Here is a 27562-nt window from a genome sequence, read left to right as displayed (position 1 = left end):
TCTATAATGAAGTAATTGTAAAAAAGACATAATTAATGTGAGCCACTATGCCTGTTTAACTTTTTGCTGAACTATAATATATGTATAGAAAAGTTCACAGTCATCAATATACAGCTTGATGAATGATCACAAAATAAACATACTTGTCTAACCATCATCCAGATCAAGGAACAGGACATTCGCAGCACCCTAGAAGCTCCCTCAAGAATCACACTTACTTTTCAAATCAGGATTCAAAGTCCTAGTTTTTAACCTATTCACCAGTCACATCCCATGGGAAGAAGGCATCTTATGGGCACGTGAGCCACAGACTCCAGACATGCTGTTCCCCCCTGAGCACCGTGGTCTAGGTGCTGCCCCTAAGAAGGCCATTGCTAGCCCCTGTTGTGATGGGGGGAGGCAGCCCCTGACTTCCTATGGCTCCTGTCTTCTACTGTGGCTCCAAACACAATCAGCTTGTGCTCATGTTCAAGGACAGGTGTAGCTCTCATTTTCATTTCATCCTCAGTCTGGATGAAAATGAGGAGAGATTGAGGTTTTCTACTCATCAAAACCCATTTCTGGTGCACTTCTTGAAGATCCATGGCACACAGTATTTAGGGAGGACTCCTGTCTGACCTGGACAAGAGGGGGGCCTCCCACAGGTTACTACAAGCAGCATGTCCAACATTCTACACCTCCACCAAGGAAGAAATTAAACTCTTTTGCTGATTGCCCAAACTACAACTTCTAACTAAAATAGATCTGCATCTGCTTTAGGTTATCTTAAGCTACCTGTTGTCCAGTGTCTTGAAATGATTATTTCATAGTTTTTTCAGATTTTCGGTTGTTTCAGATAGAAGGGTACCTCTAGTCCCTGTTACTCCATATTGGCTGGAAGCAGAAAGCTGAAGAGTTATCCTCTGATGGCCCTCTGGCCTCTTGAAAAGAGCGAGGTTTCTAGAAATACAAAGCATCTGATGATTCCTAGGCTTTTCTGCACAATGGGTAATGTTTTCCCCTTTACCCAATATGTGTGGTTGCTTGTTCTGTGACCACAAAGTCTGTAGATATTTTCAGATTTAGATTTAAAATCAATGAATGCTATCATCTCCCACTGATTCAGCTGGGAAAGAACAAGTTCACATTGTAAGTTAAGAACCCAAGGGAAAAGGGTTCGAGAAGAGAGGAAATTAGAAAGAAAATTATAAAACAACCAAATATAACAGGTTTAATTTTCTTCCCATAAAGTATTAATTAAAATCATTTGTTAGATTATTTCTAATATTTGTTAAAATTATTTGAAAAATATATTTGGATGTTTGTCACTCAAAGAGTTAAGCCAGGCACCATGGAGGGACTTGGGACTGGTGACCCTGCCAGGTGCTTTTGGTAAAAGGGAGGTAACAATGTGTCTAGTGCATACATATTGTGGGCACACTTCAGCTATTCAAACCCAGACAGAGGAAATGGGGGAATTGGGGTGGGAGAAGGATGGGGCTTAGAAAATGAATAAAAAGAGAAAGTGGCCCAAAACTCTTTGCTGTGGCTCTTCATGCAATGAAAGCCTGCATTGTGTCAAGCTGTGAGTCAAAATAAGAAGGTTATTCAGCGATCACAGCCTGCATCTAAAATATGAAATAGTTCCATTCCAGCCATTTAGTTTCTCATACTAAAAAAAAAAAAAAAACCCTCCGCATTTGCTCCTACTTTTTTCTGCAGCCCACAGTCATTTCATATTTTCAGGGGAAAAACAAATGTTAACTTTTAAAAACCTCTCTTCTCTAACCTGTCAACTGATTTTGCATGTTCCAGTGAATTGGGATGAATGCTTGGACCTAATTTGATGTTTGCCAAAAAAGAGTCCTCCAGCCCTCTAATAAGCGCCCATGTATTATGTGGGTAGCAGCTCTCACCTCCCCTTCTCTTCTCTAAAACAGCTCCCCTCTGCATCCTTGTCCCCACCCCCAGGCCCTTCACCTCCATTTATTTTCCTTGGATGAGAGTCTCACAGTGAATAGGAAACATCTTTAAGAAGGGGAGAGGAGTTGTGAAAGAGATTTAGAGGCCAAATGGGGCTCTTGGAGAAAAAAGAATTCAGAACCGTTGATATAACTCAATGGCATTCATGCAAAGAGTTGCAGAGAGTAATGAACTTTTTACTTAGTTAGCAACAGTTCATCCAATGTCCTAGACTAATTTGAGGCCATTTTCCAAGAAGAAAAGAAAGCTATGCAGTTCACAGCCACGCATCTGTGCACAGTAACGAGAGCCATCGCCTTTCCTCGTGCAGATTTTTGTGCAAGGAAAAGACTAGCTCTTATCTTTGTTTCTCTGCCCGGGTCCTTGTGTGGCATTTTTTCATATGACTAAACACAAGGGGAAATTAAATGGCTCATATTCCATTCTGAAGGGTAAGTTTTGCCTGAAAAATTATGTGCTATAACTTGAAAATAATATTCTATGTCCAGATGCCCTCAGACCTCCCTAAATAATAGGAGTGTTTATAAAACATACAAGCATTTATCCTAAAGCCAAGTCTTCTATTAAGTTGGCTGAAAGTGTAATACGTTGAGAACCCATGGGGTTTCTTTTGTCATTTCTTCCATATTATTATGGATATTAGGCCAAAAATAGTATTTTTTACTTCTTGTATTAATAAATTAATAAATTACTTCACCCCAGACATTGTCTTTGAATAGAAGGGACATTTCTTTCAGGGAAGGGTCAGCTGCCAGGGCATGCATGCCTGAGGGTAACATTTAGACTACTGGTGGTCTTGCCTTCCTTGGTGCCAGCCATCATGTTGCTTTATATATTCAAAAGCAAAGTTCTGAACATTTAAATTTAATTTGGTCAGATATCAGGAGTTGGGATATTCTGATCCTATCAAACATCTTCTTTTCCCTTTTTGAAAGCAAGCTTGTTGGTGTGACGGCTGTACTTGAGAAAAGTAGGCAAAAAAGTAGATTTTGGTTTCTAGTTCGAACTCAATGCATTTGTAAGTCAAAAATTCAAAACTCTTTTCTCAGTCAATTTCCTGACACATGTTCTTGGAATGTCACTGTGGACTTTGACTGGAGCAGATAGCAATTATTTTCTTTAAGTCCTGCATGGGTTAAAATTCTATTCATTCTTCATCCATCAGCAAGTTTCTTCCAATTTAAGAAATACTGTGACTTGCCTAGAGTAGGTGCCTAATAAATGTTTCTTAATTTTATTTAATCTAGGATAATATCTCTATGGACTATTTGGTAGCCAGATTCTTGAGCATTCTTGTAACGTTTGTTCATGATACCTCAATTCTCAGAGGTGAAATTGAGGTGAATGATGCTGAAGTGATTTCTGGCCCTGGGTCCCCTTCCTGTGATGTCAGAGACACAGCTTTCTGAGGTGACTTTAGGACAGAACCCTGGAGAGGTCTTCGTTCAATGAAGCCACGTTAAGAATCTGAAAGGATCTATTCAAGGGTTCCTGAATTGCTCCTCATGCCTGCAGCTGAGATTTATGCCTCTGATTTCAGCAGGACCCTGGGTGCCATTTGGTCTTTCTCATCTCCATGATGTTGAACCTGAGAAGTCACATAGCCTGGCTGGCACTTTTCCAGACCACTTCCTCTGATGAGAAAAGAAAAACAAGGCTTTGTGACACAGAAGAATGCATGCTGCCTGTCCTGGATCTGCAGCCTAGGCAAAACAGTATCCAGGTTCTGCAAAGCCCAATAGGATGATGTGGAGATAACACCGTTGCTTATAGGAATGATCGATTTAAGAGACACACGTGACTGATGCCAGCATCTTTTGTTCTTGTCTCTGGATTAGCTCTATCACAGGTCAAACAGACTTAGAATAGAATTAGTAATCAGCATCATTGCTAATCTTACTGAAAGCACTTACCATACACCCTGCACTGTTTTAAGCTCTTTACATTGATTTATTTTATCCTTACAACTCTATAAAGCAGATACTAATGTCATTTCTATTTTACTGGTGAAAAAATTGGAGCATAAAGCTTTTAAATAGATTGCTCAAGGTCACGCAGTGTGACAGTTTACAGTAGCATGCAAATTTTTTGACACTCCTCTCTTCAAAAAGTGGAGTATAATTTTCCTTCTCCCTTGATTTGAACCAGACTTAGAGACTCAATTCTAATAAAAAGCATATGGTGGAAGTGAGGGCATATGCTTCTTAGGCTAGGATGTAAGACACTACTCCTTCTACCTGGCATTCTCATGGATTTCTCACTTTCAAGGAAGCCAGGCATCATGTGGTGAAGACTCTCAGGCAGCCTGTGTGGAGGCCCACAAGGGGAGGACCAAAACCAGACCAACGTGTCAGCCATGTGGATAAGCCACCCTGGCAGTGGCTCCCCTCCTGCCCCAGTCAAGCCTTCAGATGACAACAACCATGATAGCCCCTGAGGCAAAACTGCCCAACTATGCCACTTCTGAATCTCTGACTTAGAGAAACTGTGAAATAATATTGTTTTAAATAACTAAGTTTGAATAATTTGTTCTGTTTTCACAGATAACTAATACAGCTTCTAAGTGGCAAAGTCAAGATACCAATCCAGGGGGGTCTGAAGGCAGAATCTACACGTTACTGCTATATCCTCTCCTGATACTAAGGAGATTATCAATAAGCTCACATTCTGGCAATACATGTTCAGTAAATGTTTTATCTAAGCTGCAGCAAATTCTGATGTGTTTTTAGACACTTAGAAATCAATAATGCACATGAGCTACATAGTCCCTTCTTTCATTGGTTGTTATGAATTAATGCTGGTCAAGGCCTTTTGCCCTATGCTGCCTTTTCTAGGCTCTAGGCAGACACTACCTTTCCATTACACATTACTTCAGAGAAGCCTGTTACAATTATAATTAGTCAGATTATAGCATCCTTTAGGGTCCTTCCTGTCCTGAGAATACACCATAGTCACTTTACCCAAATTGGATATGTATTAAATCTATCAACCTCAAGTATTAACTATTTTTTATAAACTATTCCTTTTAGGCTGGGAGGAAAATATAAGTAACTCATCTCTTAGACAGGATAACTTCTGCACATAGTTATTTCCTATAATGTGTTGATTAGGACTGCTTAACTCTCAGAAGATTGACTCTTTGCTGCCACCTTGCTGATACCATGAATGTTAATGCCCATGGCACTGGGCTTTGCACAGAGTGGATATTCAGTAAATGGGTAGTTCTTGTTTCTCTCCCACATATGCAGTTAGGAGCACATTAGTCTTCCCAGAAACTGTTAGACTGCTGTCAGTAAGTAACCATTATTTGACATAACCCCACTGGCCGCAGCAAACATACATTCCCTACTACCCTTTTTTCAGTATCAAGGAAATGGAAATAACTACTCAGAGAGTTAGAAGGCACATGATGAGTAATTTCCTAGTCATTTAGAGTCAGACCAGATGGCCTTAAAGATACTCCAACCAAGAAGAGCTAACCTGACTCTGCGATTGCAACACTGGTGATCCCTCACCAGGAAAGATGCCAGTCTCTCTGCTGCCCCTCCTGTGTGTTCTTCACATGGCAGCCTTATTTCTGTTCTTAAAATCCAAAGCAAAGTTCAAGTTTTCCACCAAGTAATACAAACCTGGCCGGTTTCTTCTCCTGGCCTACCTCATCTTCCAACAACTCTCACATTTTTCAACCTAATAACATTAAACTTTATGTAGTTTCCCAAGTAGCTATCCTCTCCAGCTCCACACCCCCTTCTAACCTAGTTAACTCTTATTCTTACAGGAATCAGGTTATGGGTCAACTCACCTGGGGTATCTCTCTCCCATGCCACCTGACCTCTGCCCTCGTTCCTTGCTCTTCACTGCTGGAGTGGACACCCCCCTCTGTGCTCCAGGATGACTCTGAAAATAGCCCCACACACTGAATATGCTGTGTTGACACTATCTATTTGAATGCTTATCTCCCCTACTACATTATAAGGCCCTGCCAACAGTGGCAGGGTCATATTTAACCTTGCCTTCTCAGTGTCTGGCAAAAAGAAGGTGCTTAATAAATTAGATAATGTATGCAAAGTAGTTAGCCTAACACTTGATGTAGCAAGTGTTGTTGTTAATTTGGTGATGGAACCAATTGTTACTTCTCACCTATCTACAAGCCAAAAAGCTGTTTTGGTTTCTTCCTGGTAACAACTAAAGAGAGAAAAGCTGAATGAACAAAAAAGAAAGCAATAGAAAAGACACGTAGAAATCAATTAAGAATCTAAAGACACTAAAAATAAGCAATTAAATAAACAAAATCAAATGAGACTAATGAGAAAACTAAACAAAAGCAAGGGGAATTTGACAAACTTTCCTAGCAGCTAGATAGTCCCCACTACAAAAGCAGCTTCGACAGAAGTGGTAAATTCCCTATAACCTGAGTCACTAAAGACCAGACCAGACAAACCGCTTGAAAGAATACAGCAGTAGACATCAGGGTACTGGCTGAATTAGTGGGCTTTTTTCATCTTCAATTTCTCTGATTCATTCATAAAATATTTATAACAGGGCTGCAGAACATTTGTTACATCTTTTCCCATTTGTTCTCCTTCATTTTCCAAAGGAAAAGTGTACAGTATTAATATTTACTTAGTTAACGTTACCAGGCAAGGGGACTGTGCAAGATCAGAAGGGCTAATATCTAACAATAACAATGGAGAAGACAGAGACAGCTATTTTACTGGAAACTTTTTTGACAAAACCTGATTATTCTGATTAGGTCTATATTGGAAATAAAAAACTTAGGGCAGATTGCTTCTGGGTGTTTGTTGATTTATTCTTTGGATAAAATTGGTCAGAATAAACTTCCTTAAAATAACAACCACACATAGCACACAAGTTGTATCCTCTTGCTCCCCTTCTGCCTACTCCTCCTCCCTCCTCTGCCTCTTTTTTTTCACCTCAGAGTTCCTAGAAACAAAGCCAAACACTGGAAGGAAAGTGCTGATACTACTATTCTTTTGTAGTTGTTTTCTTTATCTTTTAAAATATAGTTACGTTTTTCCAGCTTTTTGCTGATCAGAAGTTTGCCTAAAACAAAACTTTCGACCGGGTGCAGTGGCTCACAGCTGTAATCCCAGCACTTTGGGAGACCAAGGCGGGTGGATCACCTGAGGTGGGGAGTTCGAGACCAGACTGACCAACATGGAGAAACCCCATCTCTATTAAAAATATGAAATTAGCCAGGCGTGGTGGCACATGCCTGTAATCCCAGCTACTTGGGAGGCTGAGGTAGGAGAATCACTTGAACCTGGGAGGCAGAGGTCGCAGTGAGCCGAGATCGCACCATTGCACTCCAGCCTAGGCAACAAGAGCAAAACTCCGTCTCAAAAAAAAAAAAAAAATTTCAGATGTATCTCTGAAAGATTATTTTAGGATATTTCCAGCTTTTACTGTAGCTGGATTCCAGATGCTTTAATTTGTTTCGGTATTGTATTAAAATGTAAAACTACATGAAAAAGAACTACATTATTAGGGCTTTGTGAGCCACTCAAGCAAGGTCACAGGATGTGAGGGGTGAATGGGAGCAGGGAGCCTTCTGTACAACCCCCCTCAGTTTTAGTGATGAGGAAACCAAAACCCAGGATGTATAGTAAGGTCAAAGGCTAGTGAAAGTCAAAGTCAGGACTGGATCCCAGATGTCCTCGTTCTTCATCTAGAACTTTTCCCATTATACCAAGTGGGTAGAGTGTGTGGAGAAAACTGAGCTGTTGTATACTTTTTCTTTTTCTCAAATCTAATCCTAGAAACATAACTATAATGAAAATAAGAAGAGCTAACATCCAGTGAATGCTGATTTTGTGCCCTCCACTGTTCTACACTTTTTACCTGTCTTAACTTATTTGAGTCACAACATCATTAGCCTCATCTGACCAATGAGGAAACTGAGACAAACTAGGTTATGTTACTTTCCCAGAGTAACTTACCTTAGGTAACAGATGACAAACGAAATGGAACCTCCAGGCCAGGCCTGGCTCCCGAGCAGACACACCCACCCATGATGCCTGACGGCCTCCCAGCAAAAGCAGAACTTCCTCCAAGGCTGGGAGAGCAATGAGCAATGGAAATGCCCATTCCCCTGCCTGAGTGTTGATATTTCATTGTCATTTTTGTAGCTTTGCATTTTTATAGCCTCTTTTAATGTAACTATTAATAATAAATTTGCAATCTCTCGGAATTATCTGAATACAATCACACTGATTTTGCAATGGTGTGAAAATATAAACTTTGAAATTTTTTTCCAGCCAGGCGCGGTGGCTCACACCTGTAATCCCAGCACTTTGGAAGGATGAGGTGGGCAGATCATGAGGTCAGGATTTTGAGACCTGCCTGGCCAATATGGTGAAACCCTGTCTCTACTAAAAATACAAAAATTACCTGGGCATGGTGGCATGCACCTGTAATCCTAGCTACTCGGGAGGCTGAGGCAGAAGAATCGCTTGAACCCGGGAGGTGGAGGTTGCAGTGAGCTGAGATGGCACCACTGCACTCCAGCCTGCGTGACAGAGCGAGACTCTGTCTCAAAAAAAAAAAGAAAAAAGAAATTTTTTTCCAACTTTGTGAACTTCCTAGATGTAAAAATATTTAAAATTCTGCTCCAAACCACTGATAAAAGTAAATTATAAACAAAAAGACTTACAAAAGAACCAGCATAAAAGTCCACAGAAGTGAAAAGAAATTTTTAAATATCCAACACCACCAAAGAGTTTTTGAGCATCAGTTGTAACAAATACTAAATATAGTTCTCATATTTGTTTTTTAAAACAATGTTTAATAAATATCTTATATTCTTCTGTAAATACCAGAAACAACTGGCCTAACATTTAGGGGAAAAATGATTTTTCACTGGCAAAAAGAAGACTTCAAAATGTGTATTACCTTCATAAAGTTTTAAAATGATATGTGGTTTGGGAAAGAATAATGTGGAAGACTTTGAAAGTCAAGACTAAGGTTTCCTTCGGCAGCTATGAACTTGGAGCTTATTGATGAGCATCCTATAAATAGCATGCTCTCATTTGCCCTTTAAACATAGTCAGGGAAGCAGTCAGCCGGTCATTTCCTGCAATTTGACCATCCTGATCTGTGACTGTGGGGCAGTTTCGAAGCCTGTACAGTCAGCCCACACCACATACTCCTATGGATTTCTAACCAAACGTCTGCCAACCTTCACATTCCCTTGTATGATTAATTTCTAGGTTTATTTTGGTCAGTATTTAGACATGATTGGGTAAAAAAAAAAAAAAGCAAAAATGTCAATAGGTTTGTAATTTCCATTTCCATCTGGACCAATTAGAGTACACCATGATAGGTTTTACATGTGCTATCCAAAGCATTTCTTATTCTAAGGAATGCATTGACTTTTAAGCAATAAGTAGCTGATTGTGAGGTGGATAGAACTTAAGTAATAAAAAATAATTAACCTATTTCCTCAAAACTACTAGCTTTAAAAGAATCCTGATTGGAGTCAGGCTGGAACAGAGTTTCTACATTCCAGTGATTATTCTCTCTAAATAGAGTAACTCCTAAGTGATAGTGGCCCAGCTCTTTTATTAAATGGGTGCCGCCAATCTAAAATCATTCACTCTTCAGTTCAGGGCTTTTGTTTTCCTCTTGTTCTAATTGAAGCAGAGGTAAAACATACGCAGCTTCTAATAATTGAGAATTATGGTGTCCCTGCCTGTTTGGCTGTTAGTGGAAAAATGTAAAAATGGCATAAATTATCTTTCTCTTTGTCAGGAGTCTCAGAAATAGACAATCTCCAGTGCTTAAGATCATGTAAAGATCTTTCCCCTCACACTACCAAGGAAGTTGATTTGGAAAGTGCCTATTGTGGCTTCCATTTAGGCCTAAGCCTCTTCCTAAGAAATAAGTGTTTGTAAATATCCCAAATGACCTGCACCCTTGGAAGTCATCTCCTCCCTCTGGCTGCCTTGAAGACAGACAGGCTATTTTTCCCTTCCTGGCATTAGGATGGAGGGAAGGTGGAGAGGTAAGAGGAGTGGGGGTGGATAGAAATGGCTTTGATCTTGCTGTGCCACTGGGGCAAGTCCCTCCATCTCTAAAGCCCTTCCGATTCTCGACTAATAAACAGAGACCCAGGTCTACCTTGTCAGTTTGATGTTAGGAGGAGACATAAAATATACAAAGCTCCTGGCCCCAAATTGGTGATCCAAAATGGCAAATGTTCCGAAAGAAGATAGTCCCCAGAGACAGTGGCAGGAGGGCAGGTCTTCACCAGCTAGCAACTGCTTTGCAACTAGAGCCTCTGGCTGGAACATTTGGAGGCTCTGTAAAAGCCTTCAGTTCCTCAATGGGGGCAGGAGAGCCCAAGGTAATTGGAAGAAGGATGTCTGTTTCCTAAAAAGACCATAAGGAAAATCAAGTACTTGGCTACCTGGACCATCCTTAAGAGGTCAAGAACTGAGTTCTCAGGCCAGCACAGTGAGTCTGAGAAGAGCCCCTAGGCCAGGAAACAGATGATACGTGATGTGACTCCATGGTGCCAGGGAACTTTAGGAAAGCCTATGTCAGGTGTTTATTGACAGCTCCTCTAACTTTAAAAGACCAGTTCAACTGATGTTCAGAGGCTGGTGTCCTATAAAGAACACAAAGATGAGAAAGATCCAGCCCTCAACCCTCAAACAATGGAGAGCTGAAGAAATAAAGACTACAAGCTCCCTGAGGGCAGGAATCATGTCTGTTTGGCTTAAAATAGAATGCTTAGTGCTGAGCCAAATGCCTGACACACGATAGGACTCAAGAGATGTTTATTGAATAAAATATGCAAAGAATTATGATGTGAAGCAGGTACAATATATTCTGGAGGCTCAGAGGTAGGAGAGTCATCAGTGGGTCAGGAGAGGAAATCAGGAAAAGTTTGACAACTACTGTAAGAGGTTAAGCAAAACTGGAGCAAGGGAAGACATTTCAGGAAACAATGTGAGCAGAGATGAAACACAAGATGTGTTCAGAGAACACATATCTTCCGATACATGCTCTGGGTTCTAATCACACCAAGCTTGCTGTGAGGACCAGCACCAGAACTGGACCAGCAGGACAGGGCCTTGCTGGGGAAGACCTGGAAAGGAGGCTGAGGCCTTTGTACTTAATTTGGGAGGAAGTTTTTGAATGAGACAGCGGTAGTTTTATTTCTACTCTGTGCCAGGCTTCAGCCTTCTCACCCCTACCTTGCACCCTTGGAAGGTATGTATCTTGTTCAGTGCTTTTCCCCCCAGCACCAAGTATAGCGCCAGGAACCTGGCAAGCATTAGAAAAAGGTGTTGAATGGATAAATGAAAAAGTGAATCAGGCAGGGGGATGAGATGAGAAGGGCCCGTGGTCATTTTTAATAACCATAAGATCATATGTGCTTTTCAGTTACTTTATACAATTAAGCTTTCAAGTCATTACTTTCAGGGATGCTCAAAACAATTTGGTGAGGTGGGTAGACTATATATTTGTATTATCTTCCTCAGGCAAGTAAGAAAAGGCCAGTGGAGTTAAATGTACTTTGCCAAGGCAGCAGCCCAAATGAGAGATGGAACCAAGACTGTCCTCCTGCAGAGGACCATCCTTCTGTGCCAATGCACTTCCTTGACTCTGACTCCAGGGCCCAGTCACAAAGCTTACTGTGAAGACCAAGTGGCAGGACTGAGCAGCAGGGCCGGGTCTCCCTGGGGAGCGCTGGGCAGCGGGTGAGCCACCAGTTACCCCTCACTATAACTCCCTCCAGGTGTCTCTGGGACACACACCTGGCTATTCTTGTCCAGTGTGGAGACGATGGACGAAGAAGTGCTTGGAAATCTTACAGGATGACTTAAACACAGCAAATGCCTTTCAGTACCTGCGGGAAACAAGCCAGAAAGATGGTTGGATCTGTTACCTGCTGAGTGATACGCAGAGGACAGGCCTTAAGTTGTTGGGAATTGGTGGCCCTGCCCATCAACCTTGTATGGAATGACCCTAAGCAGTGGCAGGCTTTCTTCCTGCTGATGTGGGAGGGGGTGGCAGTGCTCAGCAGTGCCACACGTGTCTGCATGGACCTGATCTGCAGCTACTTACATGACATGAGGAGCAGCTAATGAGGAGCAGCTAATGCTTGAGCCCCAGAGAATGTAGGATTTTCTTTAATGAAAGTGAACTAAAAAGACAATTAATGTTATCAAGTGAGGTCTTGTAGAAACAAGAAGAGAAGGCAATGAGGCGGTGGAAGTCCTTTTGAAAAAACCTCTTGGCAATAAAGAGTGCGGTAACTACACGCTTCAGCTGTTACTAAACTTTTCAGTAATTAAAACTTGATTGGGAGAAATGAAAGCCCGTGATCTTAGGCCTTTTTCATTTCAAATAAGCCTTTCACAATTAATTCTTGCACCATTCCTCTTTAAGCAAATTTGACAGTGAACTTTGTTCAGTATTCTGACTAATGGCTATAGCCACCTCTGGAGACACAAATGGATTTCTTTCTCTTTTTAATCAAATGGATTAAATTAAATAGCACTGAAAGGAAAAATGAATAAACACGATAAACACGTACTATGGAGCATAATACAGGGGGCAGGGTGAGGCAGTGGAAAAAAATACTGGATCCAGTGACAGAAGACCTGGGCTTCAGTCAAGCTTCTGTCATATAAGACAAATCACTTAATTGTCTCTTACTGTTGCTGCTTTATCTGTAAAAATTGAATGAGAAATAACATGTAACTTTGAGGACCTCAGTGAGGAGGCTAATGAGAGGCCATACATGAATGCGCTTTGTGAAAGCCCTGTGGAAATGTTGGCTGCTCTTAGCATCCCTGTTAGCTGTCTCTAAGGACACCTCCGTCAATGTGAGGGAGTCTTTGTGTGGCATGTGTTGTCTTCTGGAGTGCTGAGGTCAGTGGCATTCCACTGCAGCCCAAAAAGAAAACCTAACTAATATGTGTAAGACAATAGCAGTAGTCGTGGGTGTTAATTAGATAAATTACCAAACTGCCTACCACTTGTGATATGAACTGGAGAATATTTTCACTTCCCGATATTGATTTCTAATTTTCTTTGCAGGACAGATTTAAATTGTGTGTGGTACTATAAGGTAAAGAGTTCAACAGCATGACTGCTAGATGTTAGCTACTTGTTTTAGTTAGTTCGGGCTGCTTAACAAAATACCTTCGACTGGGTAATTTATAAACAGAAATGTATTGCTCACAGTTCTAGGAGCTGGGAAGTCCAAGATCAAAGGCATCAGCAGATTCAGAGTCTGGTGAGGGCTTGTTCTCTGCTTCAAAGATGGGACCTTCCACGTGGTGGAAGAGGCAAACAAGCTCTCTCATGCCTATTTTATAAGGGCACAAAACCCTTTCATGAGGGATCCAGCCACATGACCTAATCACCAACCGAAGGCCCCGCTCTCTTAATACCATTACCTTGGGGGTTAGGTTTCAACATATGAATTTCAGGGGAGACAGAAACTTTCAGACTATAGCAGTACTGTATTCGACTATTTCCCTCTACTCTTCAGTTTTAACATAAAATAATAATTTCTAATAATTGTTGGACACTATTGTGTATCTAGCTCTGTACTAGATTACCTGGCTTTGCACAGATTATTTTAGTTCTCACAATAAACCTATACCTTAATGCAATTTATAATTCCTACTTTGCAGATGAGAAAACAGGCTTAGAGAGAGCAAGTAATCTTTCCCAGGTCCCACGGCCAACAGCTGGAATTCATTTCTAAATGTACTCTTAATATCACATGGGACACAGAACATGGTAATCTGGAATATTGCAACTGCCTGGCTGGAGAAAGTATAAGTTGGTTCAACCACTCTGAAAAACAATTTGGCACTCTCTTATAATCTTGAACATTCTCATATTCTGTAACCTAGGAATTTCACTCCAAGGTAGGGAAATTCTCATGCATAACACTAGTATGTGTACATAGGAGTGTTATGGAAGCATTGTTCACAATGCTAAAGAAACAAAAGACTTTAGAAAAGCTCCAGACATTCTGTTGACAGGAGGGTGACTAACTTGTCACAGTGGATTATACAGCAATGAAGATAAATGAACTACAACTCCACAGAGGTGCAGAGATGAATCTTAACATTATGTTAAGTGGGGAAAAAACATTACAGAAGGCTACCTACAGAATAATTTTACCTTAATATGCAAAACTAAAAAATAATGAATAGGGATACATACATATGTGATAAAACCTTAAAAAAATCAAGTGAAAGGTCAGGGCAAAATTCAAGCAAATGCTTCCCTCTGATGGTAGGCGGGGGGTGGGATACATATGCACAGGCAGATGCAAGAGTATTTGAAACATTCCAGTTATTGAGTTGAGTAGTGAAGTCTATAGGTGCCTGCATATTATATATATTATGATATATAATAGTATCATATATTATTTTAAATGAAGCAGATATCACGTAATTACAACTTTCTTATGAAAAGTTACCACTGAGCCTTGACTGCAAAGGTAGTATGAAGATGAGTGTATTAGGAGTCTCTGCTTCTGACTCCCACCCCCAGGAACCTAGAGCCTAGATGACTAAAAAGAAAAAACATCAGATTAAGGGCATGGCTATGATTATCCAGGTTTGTTTTTCTGGCCCCTCCAAGCTAGAGGACTACCTGGGGCTCTGAGCCCTGGATAAACAATCCTGCTGGTACAGCAAAGCAGATGAGAAAGATCTAGGCCACCCACACAGCAATCAAGAGCTCCACTGGGTGGGCCAGGAAATTGCAATTGTCCCGCCCTGTGGCAGTGCTAAGCCACCTGTGGAGTGGCAGTAGGGGCCAGGAGGAGTGGCAGTGTTCCGGGTTCAGCTGCCCAGCTGGTCCCCAGGGACCAGCAAGTAAGTGCCAGTGAGATACCAACACCAGGGCACTCCAGCTGAGGCAATTTAAAAGAGTGCATAATTGCACATAATAGAGTTAAAATATAATTGCCTCATTAAAATGGGTTACTAAATCTCATTGTGTGTGAGTGTGAAAGAGATAGACAGACATGTGTGTTAAACTGCAAGAAAGAGAAGTTACATAAATGAATGTGAGCAGGTAAGATCTGAGAGTGCCTGGCAGTGCCACCTAGATAGAAGAGACCCTGGTTCCTAATGGACAGCATGTGGAAACCCCCGGCTTGTGGCTGCTCTTGTGCAATGACAGCTCAGAGTTGGGACTGACTAAATGTAACCAAGTCTCATCTTTTGCCAGCAGGTCTCCATTTTTAAAATCAAAGCTCCAGTTTAGCAATGCTTTTCTATCCCTTTGCTGTCTCTAGCTCACCTTGGCATGGCTACCAGAGCAAGCTGTAAAATTGGGACTTTTCATGTCTAGTTGCCTTCGTGGCAGATTCAGAGCTGGAGTTGAGGCTGTTGGCCTGAGTGAAAGGAACATGACTGCAGGGGTGAAATACTTCCAAGCAGCCGCACAAGTCTTTATCACCCTGTAAGGGAGCCCATAAAAGTAACATCTTCTGCTCCTTCCCTGAAAGTCTGTACACAATCAGGCTTTGGTTAGATTTAGTAAATGCTCCCACCACTAACACACACAGAGAGAACGCCCTTCTTTGCTAACATGTGGTACATAAACTACAATGTTTCCTGCCATTGCCACCTCCACTTCCACTCCGAAAATCATCAATGCCCCCAGTAAGAACTCCTGAAGGGGGAAAAATGTCACCTACTCACCTCCTTTAAAATATTTTCAAGAAAAAAATCCGTAATTTCTGACAATAACCTAAAACTCTCATTATCCCAAGAGCCTCAAGTGGTCATGCTTCACTTTGTTCTCAATTTCCTAACATGAGTACAATCTGGCAATTAGCACAACTTAGTCCGGAAGGAGCCAAATTATTTTTTGTCTCAAAACCCTCACACATTAAAATGTCAAGACTAATGAGTTATTTTCTTTTCTGTTGTAGAAAGCAGATAAACGTTAACAATCTGGTGTCAGTAAGTGTCACTAAGAAGACCCAAAATATGCAGAGTGCTTATTGTAGGCACTTTTTAGGCAAGGAGATGAAGGAAACAAATAGAGAAGGAAGGGGGTAGAGTTCCATACCCCAGCCCTAACCTGTACACAAAACACTGATCATACCCTATCACCCTTTAAAACAAGACATGTCAAGTCAACATTAGAGAGCTTAACTTCACCCTAACCAGCTTACGTGACTCATCTCTCCTGGTAAGCACCTGCCTTTAAATGCAGATTTTCACTTATATGCACAGATTTGTTTCTATGCATGATTAAATACTCTGTTGATTCTTCAGATAAGTTCAGAAGCGCAAAAAAGTAGGAGGATAAGCTTTTTAATTACAAGCAATTCAGCCTGGCAAATAGAACTCTCAACCTGTCCAAGTCCTGGACTTCCAAACCTTGCCAAGATCCCCATCTGCTTCTTCTGTGGGAGCTTGGGGAGGGGGTGCTGATTCAAGTTCCCACAGAAAGAATTAGAAAATCTTGGACCAAATGCTTAGTTCTAACAAATAAAGAGCCTCAGTTCTGGATAAAAGTCAAATTGTTAAGATATTCCACTGCTCTGGTTTTGGGATGGGGTTAGGAGGGAGTATGGGATGGGGTTAGGAGGGAGTATGGGATGGGGTAGGATGGGGAAATGACAGAACCAGATTTCAGCTCATCTTGATGAAATTTGGAGTTACAAAGGCTACTCTTGTTCCCCCAGGTTTTTTTGGGAATGGGCCAGGGGTGACTGGATGCCCAGAATCCTCTGAGTGGCTCTCCCTACTCCACCTCCATGCCCAGTTTCCTTGAGTGCCAGGATACTCCAGAAGCCTCTGAATGGAAGCCCCTGAAATGTTATGAAACAGAAATTGGCAACCCTTTCCTTTCAAGTTGCCAAGTGGGAGAAGTATTGGTAGGTGGTGGAGGAACAGGGAAGGTGAATGCAATGTGTTAGCTGGGAGTCATGACTCAACATGTAAGGTGTCCCCAACTGTGTAGCCACTGCTCAACTGACAGGCAGATGGAGGGGCAGATGGGCGAGAAGGGTGGAGACAGAGGCAGTACTGGGGAGAGGGTCCAGAAGCCAGAAGTGGCTGGATGGCAGCTGCTGAGTCTCAGCCAGGCTGGCACAGTTATCAGGAAGCCTGGAGTGCCACCCTCTGGTAAGTGAGCCAAGGGTTGGGTTGCTAAATCCTGTAACAGAACCCTCCCTACAGGCACTTGGCATTTGAGCCTTAATGGTTTTGGCACTTGGCCTAATTGCTCAGAATATGTGCTCGGTTAGAGAGTAATTCCTTCATTACACTCAGTAAGTATCTGCACACAGCACAGAAGCTGTGATATTTTTATTCCAGTAATTCCTTTGCCGACCACCAAAATTCTATGAAACCTTAGGCTATTGGATATAAACCAAACTCAGAGTTTTACATTAAGTTTAGGCTCCAGATTATGAATAATTTTTAAAGCAGGATGTCTACCCAGTAAGAAAACTGCTTTATTTTGTTCAAGAAACCACCTAGAAGGAAAGTTGCAACATACAGTTAAAAAAAGGATTCACATTTTATCTTAAAACACCAAAAGCTGGAAATCAATCTGACATACTTGCTTAAACTTGTTAATGTGATTGAGTACCATAACACATTTTGGGATTAAGGTCATTTCAGTGAGTGAAATAAGATTATTTCTAGTATATGAGATATCTAGATCTTTCAGAGATTAAAGTCATATGCTAGTATTCAAAAATCAGCTAGAACCAACAGAATCCCACTCACCCAATCCAGGGTCTGGGAGAGAAGGATAAGTGAACAATATGAATAGGGCCTCAATATGCTGTGAGGATTTGCTTAATTTACCATGGGATCAAAGCAAATGGAACTGCCAGTAATTCATATATCCGTGATTGGCTTAATTGGTAAGTCTACAGTTAATTTTTATAAACTGTGGAATAGGAGACAGAAAGAGAGAGATATCAGAGGGCATGGCAGAAGGAAGTCTCTTAGCGACTCTTTTTTAAGGAACAAATTTGATTGCCTTATTTCCTTGCTAAAAACTTTAATAGCAAAAATGCAAATAACATACTTCTAAGTAACACATAGTTCAAAGAAGAAATCATAATAGATAGAATTTATATATCTAGAAATAGCGTAAAAACATATAAAGCAAAAACTGACAAAACTAAAAATACAGAAAAATCCACAATCATAGTTATTTAACAAGTATCTCTCAGTAGCTGATACACTATGCAGATTAAAAATCAGAAAGGCTATAGATGATTTAAACAAGATTAACAAAATTTATCCTTTTACCATATGCAGAGCACTGCACCCAATACTACAGAAAACATTTCTAAATCTAGAAAGAACAATTTACTAAAACAAATCATATGTTGGACCATAAAGTACGTATGAATAAATATCAAAAGGATGATACTAGGAATACATTTTCTGGTTATAGCGGAATTAAGCTTGAAATCAGTAATATAAAAATAACCAGAAAACATTCATATGTTTGAAAATATATTTCTAAGTAATCTATGAGTCAAACAATAAATCACAATGGAAATTAGCAAATACTTCTGAAGTAAAAGGTAATGAAAATATGACATATAAAAGCTTATGGATATAGCTAAACCTGTGCTTAGATGGAAACACAGATGAACACATTAAATATATTTAAATGAATACATTACAACAGAAAAAGGTCTGAAAATCAATAATATAAGCTTCCATTTCAAGAAAAGAAAAAGAGGAGAAAATAAAATACCAAGAAAGTAAAAGGAAGGAAAAATATAGAGCAAAAATAAATGAAATAGAAAACAAATATACAATAAAAAAAAAATCAACCAAGTAAAACATAGGTTCTTTGAAAGGATAAATAAAATTCATAATTCTTCCAAGACTAACCAAGGAAAAAAAGAAAGAAAGAAAACACAAATTACCAATATTAGGTCTACAGACCTTAAAAAACTAAAATGATAGAACATTATGACAAAAACGGTTAGATGAAATGGACATATACCTTGCAAAATAAAATTTACCAAAACTGACACAAGAAGAAATAGAACAACCAAACAGTTTTACGTCTATTTAGAAAATGGGATTTTTAATTAAAAACCTTCCCACAAAGGCATCTCCAGGTTTAGTTGGCTCTACTTGAAACTCTTCTAAACATTTAAGAAAGAAGTAATAACAATCTTACATTCTTCCAGATAACAGAGAGAATATGTACCAATTTGTTTTATGAGGCCAGTATTATCCTGTTATCAAAACCTGACAAAGACCTTTAAACAAAGGAAAATTACAGGGCAATCTTTCTCATGAACAAAGATGTAAAAATCCTAAATGAAGTGTTATCATATAAAATAAAAAGATATATAAAAAGGATAGTACATTATGACCACTGGGTTTATTTCAGAAATGCAAGGCTGATGTTTGAAATTCTCCATATTAAGTAAGTAAAAGGGGGGAGGCACAGATATCAATTCTCCCCAAATTGATACTTAGAGTCAAAGTAATCCCAACCACATTCCCAACAGTTGTTGAAGAAATATAGGTGGATTCTCTATTATTTTTCTGTATTGATCTCTAAATAGATACAGAAAAAAAATTGATAAAATTCAATACTTATTTGTTATTTAAAATAATCATGACACACCAGGAACAGAAAGGAACTTTCTTAATTTGATAAAGCTTATCTACAAAATACCTATCTAACAATTGAAAGCTTCCTCTCCTTCCCCACATTTTGGAAAAAGACAAGGGTGACCGCAATTACCATTTCTATTCAACTTTGTAACACTGTAAATGGTTAAACATTATGTAGTGCCACATAGCAAGAAACGATAAAAAGGTAGAAAGAAAACTGTCACTAATTATATAGATTGTGTGCTTGCCAATTTAGAAAATACAAAATAATACACAAATAACGCTTACAATTAATAAGTAAATTTAGCAAGGTTGCTACTAAATATACAAAAACATACAAAACTAAATCCAGTGATTTATACAGAAAGGGAAAATAATATGATCAACTTAGGCTTATTTTGGGAATGCAAGAGTGATTTAATGCCAGGAAAATTATAAATATAATTCATCACATTAACAAATAAAGGAGAAAAGCCAAGTGATCATCTCAATAGATTCTGAAAGTCACTTAAAATTCAACGTCCATTCATAATTAATAACAGCATGTGAGAATACAAAATAACTTCCTCTCTGATAAAGATTATCTGCTGAAAACTTAGAGCAAGTATAATTCTTTATGGTGAGATACTGAAATCTGAATTAAGAAAAGTAACCATTATCATTGCTATTAGTTAACATTCTGCTGGAGGTTCTAGCCAGCATAAAAGAAAAGAAAAAGAAATAAAGGGTACATAGGCTTCAAAGAAAAAAAAAAAAAAAACTCTTATTTTGTCTCAAATAGATCTATATAGAGAAAACTCAAAGAAAAATCACGGAAAATAATATTATGAAGGTGCCTCGATCTATTATAATCAACATATAAAATCAATTCCACTTATTTTTTAATTGTACTTATTTATGGGGTACAGTGTGATATTTTGATACATGTATCCATGTGTAATGATCTAACAGGGTAATCAGCATGTCCATCACCTCAAATGTTTATCATTTCTGTAAGACACATTCAAAATCTTCTAGCTACTTGAAAATATACAATAGATTGTTGTTAATTACAGTCACCCTACAGTGCTATAGAACACTAGAACTTATTTCTACTATTTAGCTGTACTTTTGTATCCATTAACCAACCTCTGACTATCCCCACTCCCATCTCCTTACATGTCCCTGCCTCTAGTATCAATTATTCTACTTTCTACTTCTATGAGATCAATGTTTTTATCTTTCACCTGAGTGAGAACATGCAGTATTTATATTTCTGTGCCTGGCTTATTTCACTAAATATACAATGTCCTCCAAGTTATCCATGTTGGCACAAATGAGATAATTTTGTTATTTTTTATGGCTAAATAGTATTCCACTGCGTATATATGCCACATTTTCTTTATCTACTCATCTGTTAAAGGACACAAGTTGATTCCATATCTTGGCTATTGTGAATAGTGCTGCAATAAACATTGGAGTAAAAATAAAATGTCTCTTCAACATATCCATAATTCCCTTTAGATATATACCCAGTAGTGAGATTGCTGGATCATATGGTAGTTCTATTTTTAGTTTTTAGAGGAATCTCTATACTGTTTTCCATAGTGGCTGGACTAATTTACAACAGCATATGCATTCCCATTTCTGTGCATTCTTGTCAACATTTGTTATTTTTTCTCTTTTTGATAATAGCCAAAATGAGATAATATCTCATTGTGGTATTGGTTTGCATTTCCCTGATGATTAGCGGTGTTCAGCATTTTTTTTTTTTTCATATACCTGTTGGCCACTTGCGTCTGGTTTTCAGAGATGTTTATTTGGCTCTTTCGCCCATTTTTAAAATTGGATATTTTTGTTGTTGTTGCTCAGTTGTTTGAGGTCCTTGTATGTTCTAAATATTAATCCCTTGTCAGATGAATAGTTTGCAAATATCTTCTGAAGGTTGTCTCTTCACTCTATTGATTATTTCTTTTACTGTGCTGAATCTTTTTAGTTTGATATAATCCTATTTGTCCATTTTTGCTTTTGTTGCCTATGCTTTTGAGGTTTTCTCCATAAAATCTTCACCCAGGCCAGGGTACTGAAGTGTTTCCCATATGTTTTCTTCTAGTAGTTTCATACTTTCAGGTCTTACATTTAAGTCTTTTATCCATTAGGGGTCTAGTTTCACTTTCTGCATATGAATATCAGTTTGCAACTGCTGTACATAGAAGTCAATTCCATTTCTATATACAGCAACAAATAAGTTTAAGTGTAACTTAAGAATAGATATCATTTACAAAACAAGAACTATAAATTTCTTAGGAATAAACACCAAAGTTTTCTTAGATCTATATGAAGAAAATTACAGTGTTTTTGAAGGACATTAAAACTACCCTAATAAGGAAATTTTGACATGCTGTGATTTGGATTAATCTTATAAAGATATCAATTCTCCTCAAATTGATACATAGAGTTGAAGTAATCCCAACCATATTCCCAATAGCTGTTGAAGAAATATAAGTGGATTCTCTATTATACTGACAAATTTACATTGCTATTTGTGGAACAGCAGAAAGCCAAGAATGGCTAAGGCACTCTAGATGAAAAAAAGAAAATGAAGCACTGTGCCATATATTGAGACTTTCTATAAAGTTATAATAATGGCATTCGTTGTTGGTGCAGGAATGAATAAACCTATAAAAAGAGTGCAGTAAAAATACATAAATTTATTCACATATGGGAATTTGATGTATGACAGAGATGGTACTAGCCTTCCCCCACCATTATCACACACAGAAAGAAGGAAGCAATACTAATTCTGCACCATTCCCCAAAGACCTGAGGTTACAAAGAGCAACACTAGAGCTAATGATTTACCACTTGCAGAGAGTCTTTTGGTAAATCATAGTAGTGTGTTTGCACATTTTTTGGTTAATGCAAATTCTATTATGGTTTGTTATTGTATGATTCATTATATTAACCTATTAATAGTTCAGTGGAGAAATTATTTTCTTTTTTGTAAGATTTAGAATAAAGGCAGGGTACATTGAGATGTTCTTTCTGTTTTTGTGGTTTATTTTCTTTTTTAGCAGCACCTTTTTGGCTTTTTAATGCTTGGCTTGCTTATATCTTTGTCTGTAAAAGAATCTAATAGTTTAAAGCAAGAAAAATTCCTAGTCTGCAATTAAATACGTATGGCAACTATGTGGAATACTAATCAAATCTTTGGTGTCCTTTCTAAGGTAAATTCATTTTTCTACCTCAGTTCAATCTTCATTATCATTTTACATTCCACTGGAGGCCCAGCTAGCACAACAATGGCCAGCTCTTGCCTGAATCCCGAAAATTAGACTTATATAAATGATACCCCCAGAAAGACTCGGGGCAATCTCAAAACAGGAGACCAATTTTTGATGCTGGCTTGCATTCTTGCTTCTTGTCATTTTGCTTTTAGTAGGCCAAAGCTAATACTTCTCCAGTGGAATTTCAGATGTTGACATTGATGGAAACAAAGAACATATTTAAGTAAATTAATTTCCTGGTAGTAAAGTTATAAACTTTGAAATCCTAGACTGGCTTAAACTTTCACTGTTAAATTCACAATAATGTAACACTTTGCCAAAAGATGCTATATACCCTCAAAGCAAGCAAGTATAACATGTTAATACTTGTGGCCTTATCAACAATTTCCCCAATTCAGCTAATTTTTGTAAGCTTAGTACCATTTATTTTTACTTATTAAATTGTCAGTGCTAAGAAAGTTTTACTTTTAACATTCACTGGCATTAAGGGTAGTTGGATTTGATAGACTAATATGCTGTTATTAATCTAATTATTACTATTACATTCATTTCTCAGCTAGTTTATAGAAATTTCATATTTGGACCTGCAAAAATACATAATTATATTATCTATCTTCCAAAGCACATTCTCTCAGAGGTGAAGTAAGTATGCAAATTCAAGATGATAGGTAATTGTGCTTAATATAATTATAGCCCCAAAGTAACCATATGTAGGCCTATTTATTATTCTAAACAGCATATTTAACTAAATTAGGAAAGATTAACTGACCTGCAAGTATTCAATATTATTATATGACTCTGCATTTTACTTACATATTTATTTTAAAGTCCATAGTGTATAAAAAAACTGGTAAATATTCCAAGACTGGACAATTATATATCAGTACTATCACCAGGTTCAAGGAAAATATTCCTCAATTTTTGGTTTTCAAAAGAGGCCATCAGATCACAAAAACACAAAAGATCACAATTAAGACATGAGAACAGGCCTGTTTTAATTCCATTATATTTGCAATTTACTTTAAGAAAAAATTCATATAACATAAAATTTACCATTTTAAAAAGAGCACAATCCAGTGGCTTTTAGTATATTCAATGCTGTGCAATCATCATCACTGTGTAGTTCCAGGACATTTCTATCACTCCAAAAAGTACCTGTTAGCTGTCTCTTCCCGATCAGTTCCTCTCCCTGTCCCCTGGAAACTGCTAATCTACTTATATGTCTCTGTGGATTTGCCTATTCTGGAGATTTCATTAAAATAGAATCAAATTATATATAGCCTTTTGTGCTTGGCTTCTAATTAGAATAATGTTTTCAAGATTCATCCATGTTGTAGCATGTTTCAGTAGTCCATTCCTTTTTATAAATGAATAATATTTCATTGTATGGATATACCACATTTTGTTTATCCATTCATTAGCTGATGGATATTTCAGTTATTTCTAATTTTCAGTTATTATAAGTGCTGCCATGAATATTCATGTAAAAGTCTTGGTAGACATAAATTTTCAATTATCTTGGGTAAAAGCCTAGGCATAGAATTGCTAGGTCATATCATAACTCTTTTGAGGAACTGTTTGTTAAACTGTTTTCCACATCAGCTGTACCACTTTATATCCCCACCAGCAACATATGGGAGTTCCAATTTCTCCACATCATACCAGCTTCTAAAATTACTAACATTATAGCCACCTTAGTATGTGCAAAGTAGAATCTCATTGTGATTCTGACTTGCATTTCCCTAATGACTAATGATGCTGATCATTTTTTCATGTTAGGGTTAGGGTTAGCTATCTGTGCATCTTCTTTACCTATTCAAATACTTGGCACACTTTAAAATTTAGTTGTCTTTTGTTTTGTTTTTCAAGGAAGAACTTGATGCCCCAAAATTATTATTTTGCAGAGATGGGGTCTTGCTATGTTTCTCAGGCTGCTCTTGAATTCCTGGCCTCCAGCAATCTTCTCACCTAGTGCTGGGATCACAGGCATGAGCCACCGCGTCCAGCTCGTCATTTTTTTTTTTTTTTTTTTTTTTTGAGAAGGCATCTCGCTCTGTCGCCAGGCCGAAGTGCAGTGGCACAATCTCGACTCACCGAAACCTTCACCTCCCAGGTTCAAGTGATTCTCCTGCCTCAGCCTCCCGAGTAGCTGGGACTACAGGCATCCGCCACCACGCCCAGCTAATTTTTGTATTTTTAGTAGAGACGGGGTTTCACCATGTTGGACAGGATGGTCTCGATCTCTTGACTTCATGATCTGCCTGCCTCGGCCTCCCAAAGTGCTGGGATTACAGGCATGAGCCACTGTGCCAGCCCTCGGTTGTCTTTTTATTGTTGAATTGCAAGAGTTTATTTTGGATACACAGCCGATCCTTGAGCAATACGGGTTTGAACTGCGTGGGTCCACTTATACATGGATGTGAAACCACCAGTGAATTCACCAGGGAAGCAATTCACTGGGCTTTGTTCTTGTTGGGAGTTTTTTGATTACTGACTCCATCTTGTTGCCATAGTTCTATTCAGATTTTATATTTCTTCTTGAGTTGATTTTGGTACTTTGTGTTTTTCATTTGTCCACTTCCACTGGTTTGCATATAATTATTAATAGAATTCTGTTATCCTTATTTCTGTAAGTTCAGTAATGTCCCGTTTCATACTTTAGTAATTTGAGTCTTTTTTTTTTTATTGTTCAGTCAGCTAAAGATTAGTCAATGTTTCTATCCTTTCAGAGAATTAACTTTTGGTTTTATTAATCTTCTATATCATTTTTCTAGTCTCCATTTTCTTTGTCTCTGTTATAATCTTTATTATTTCCTTTTTTCTTGCATTAGGTTTAGTTTGCTCTTCTTTTATGTTTCTTAAGGTTATTGATTAGGTTAATTTATTTCTTTCTCTTTAAGGTAGGCTATAAATTTCTCTCAGAACTATTTTTGCTGCATTTCATAAGATTTGGTATGGTGTTTCATTACAAACTTTCATCTCAGAGTATTTTCTAGTTTCCTTCGTGATTTCTTCCTTGTTCCACTGGGTTAAGAGCATCTTGTTTAATTTCCACATGTTAGTATATTTTAAAAATTTCCTTTTGTTATTAATTTACAATGTCATTGTGGTTGAAAACATACTTTGTATAATTTCAATCTTTTAAAATTTATTGAGACTTGTATTGTGGCCTAACATATGGTCTATCTTGGAGAGTGTTCCCTGTGTATTTGAGAGGAATGTGTATTCTGTTGTTGTTGGGTGGATTGTTCCACTGATGTCTATGGGATCTAGGTGATTTAGAATAGCTACTGAGTGTTCGATTTCCTTGTTATTCTTTAAGTCTTTTGGTGATTTTTTTGTCTAGCGTCCTTTCATTTCAGCTCCAAGTACTCCGTTGAGCAATCACTTAGGGCAGGTTGGCCAACAATGAATTCTCAGTTTTTGTTCATCTGGGAATGTCTTAATTTCTCCTATGTTTTCACAGTTTTGCCAGATACAGATATGTTCCCCCGCCACTGCCGCCCCCCGCCCCGCCCAGAGCTCTTTGAATATACCAGCTAATGCCTTTTGGTTTCTACAGTTTCTGATGAGAAATTAGGATATTCATCTTATGGAGGATCACTTGTACGTGATGAATTACCTCTCTCTTGGTGTTTTCAAGATTCCCTCTTAGCCTTTGGCTTATAACAGTTTGATTGTGATGTGTCCCAGTGTACATATTTTTAGTTCATCCGACTTGGAGCTCAGTGAACTTCTTGGATGTGTAATGTTTTACACCAAATTTCTAGTATCCTGACAATATTTCTTCAAATATTCTTTCAGACTCTTTCTCTTTTTCTCTGAGACTCCTATTGTTTGTGTATTGTTGACGGTGCTCCACAGGCCTCTGAGGCTATTTTCTTTCATTCATTTTTTTTTCTTCCTTTTCCTCAAACTGGAACATCTCAACTGACCCACCTTCAAGTTTTCTGAGTTTTTTCTCCTGCCTGCTCAAAATTGCTTTTATCCCCTATAGTGTATTATTTATTCTGTGTACTAATTCTCATGTCCAAATAAGTTTTTCATAATTTTTATAAAGTGTAACTTTAAACTTTTAAAATTATAAATGTATTAAAAACTTCCTTTTTATAATTGTATCTCTTTATTATATTCTGTATTTGGTGAGACACTCTTCTCATACTTTAGTTCTTCAGACTTGGTTTCCTTAAATCCTTGAACATATTTAAAATAGTTAAAATCTTTGTCTAATAAGTTCAATATCTGGGCTATCTGTTGGAAATCAGATTAGATTCTCTTGCCCCACCCCGTTTGTTGTTGCTGCCTTTTATAGCTGTGATTATATTTTAGTGACTTTCATGAACTCATTCTGTAAAATCTACATTCTTTGTCATGTGTAACCACTTATGTGTCCGATTCATTAGCTTAATTGTCAACTAATGATTAGATGAAGAGTTCCTTGAATGCCTAAACCAAAAAATTGCTCAGTCTTTGCTGAAGGACTCTGTGTGTCTGTTGGGACATGTCTTGGACACTCAGCTAGGCAGCTTCTAACTTTGCTTCTGCCTTCATTCCCTGCTTGCTCAGATCCTCAAGGTCAGGCAGAGGTGAGAGATTACGGTCTCTCTGTTCATTCATGAACATGCACACAGTCCTAAACATGCACAGAGCCTTCTAGATTCCCAGAAATACGTAAGAGCTTTTCAAAGTCCTTATGAACATCTCATT

General features: G+C 38.4%; 1 protein-coding gene across 1 annotated transcript in view, besides 2 other annotated features; it reads right to left on the bottom strand.

The window, feature by feature from the left end:
- COG6 (component of oligomeric golgi complex 6) overlaps positions 1–27562 on the bottom strand; it is a 136040-nt gene that overhangs the window by 8556 nt on the left and 99922 nt on the right. The gene's annotated exons all lie outside the window — the stretch shown is intronic.
- Positions 14283–14783: an enhancer, noted in NCBI's record as "H3K4me1 hESC enhancer chr13:40342465-40342965 (GRCh37/hg19 assembly coordinates)". NCBI's record gives its function as "activates a minimal SCP1, AML or CMV promoter by ChIP-STARR-seq in naive H9 embryonic stem cells {active_cell/tissue: H9 hESC(naive)}" and the evidence as "EXISTENCE:reporter gene assay evidence [ECO:0000049][PMID:30033119]".
- Positions 14784–15284: an enhancer, noted in NCBI's record as "H3K4me1 hESC enhancer chr13:40341964-40342464 (GRCh37/hg19 assembly coordinates)". NCBI's record gives its function as "activates a minimal SCP1, AML or CMV promoter by ChIP-STARR-seq in naive H9 embryonic stem cells {active_cell/tissue: H9 hESC(naive)}" and the evidence as "EXISTENCE:reporter gene assay evidence [ECO:0000049][PMID:30033119]".

Source organism: Homo sapiens, chromosome 13, assembly GCF_000001405.40.
Source record: "Homo sapiens chromosome 13, GRCh38.p14 Primary Assembly".
NCBI classification, from domain to species: Eukaryota; Metazoa; Chordata; class Mammalia; order Primates; family Hominidae; genus Homo; species Homo sapiens.
The sequence above is the reverse complement of the archived record's forward strand: the minus strand, read 5'-3'. Positions and strand labels throughout refer to the sequence as shown.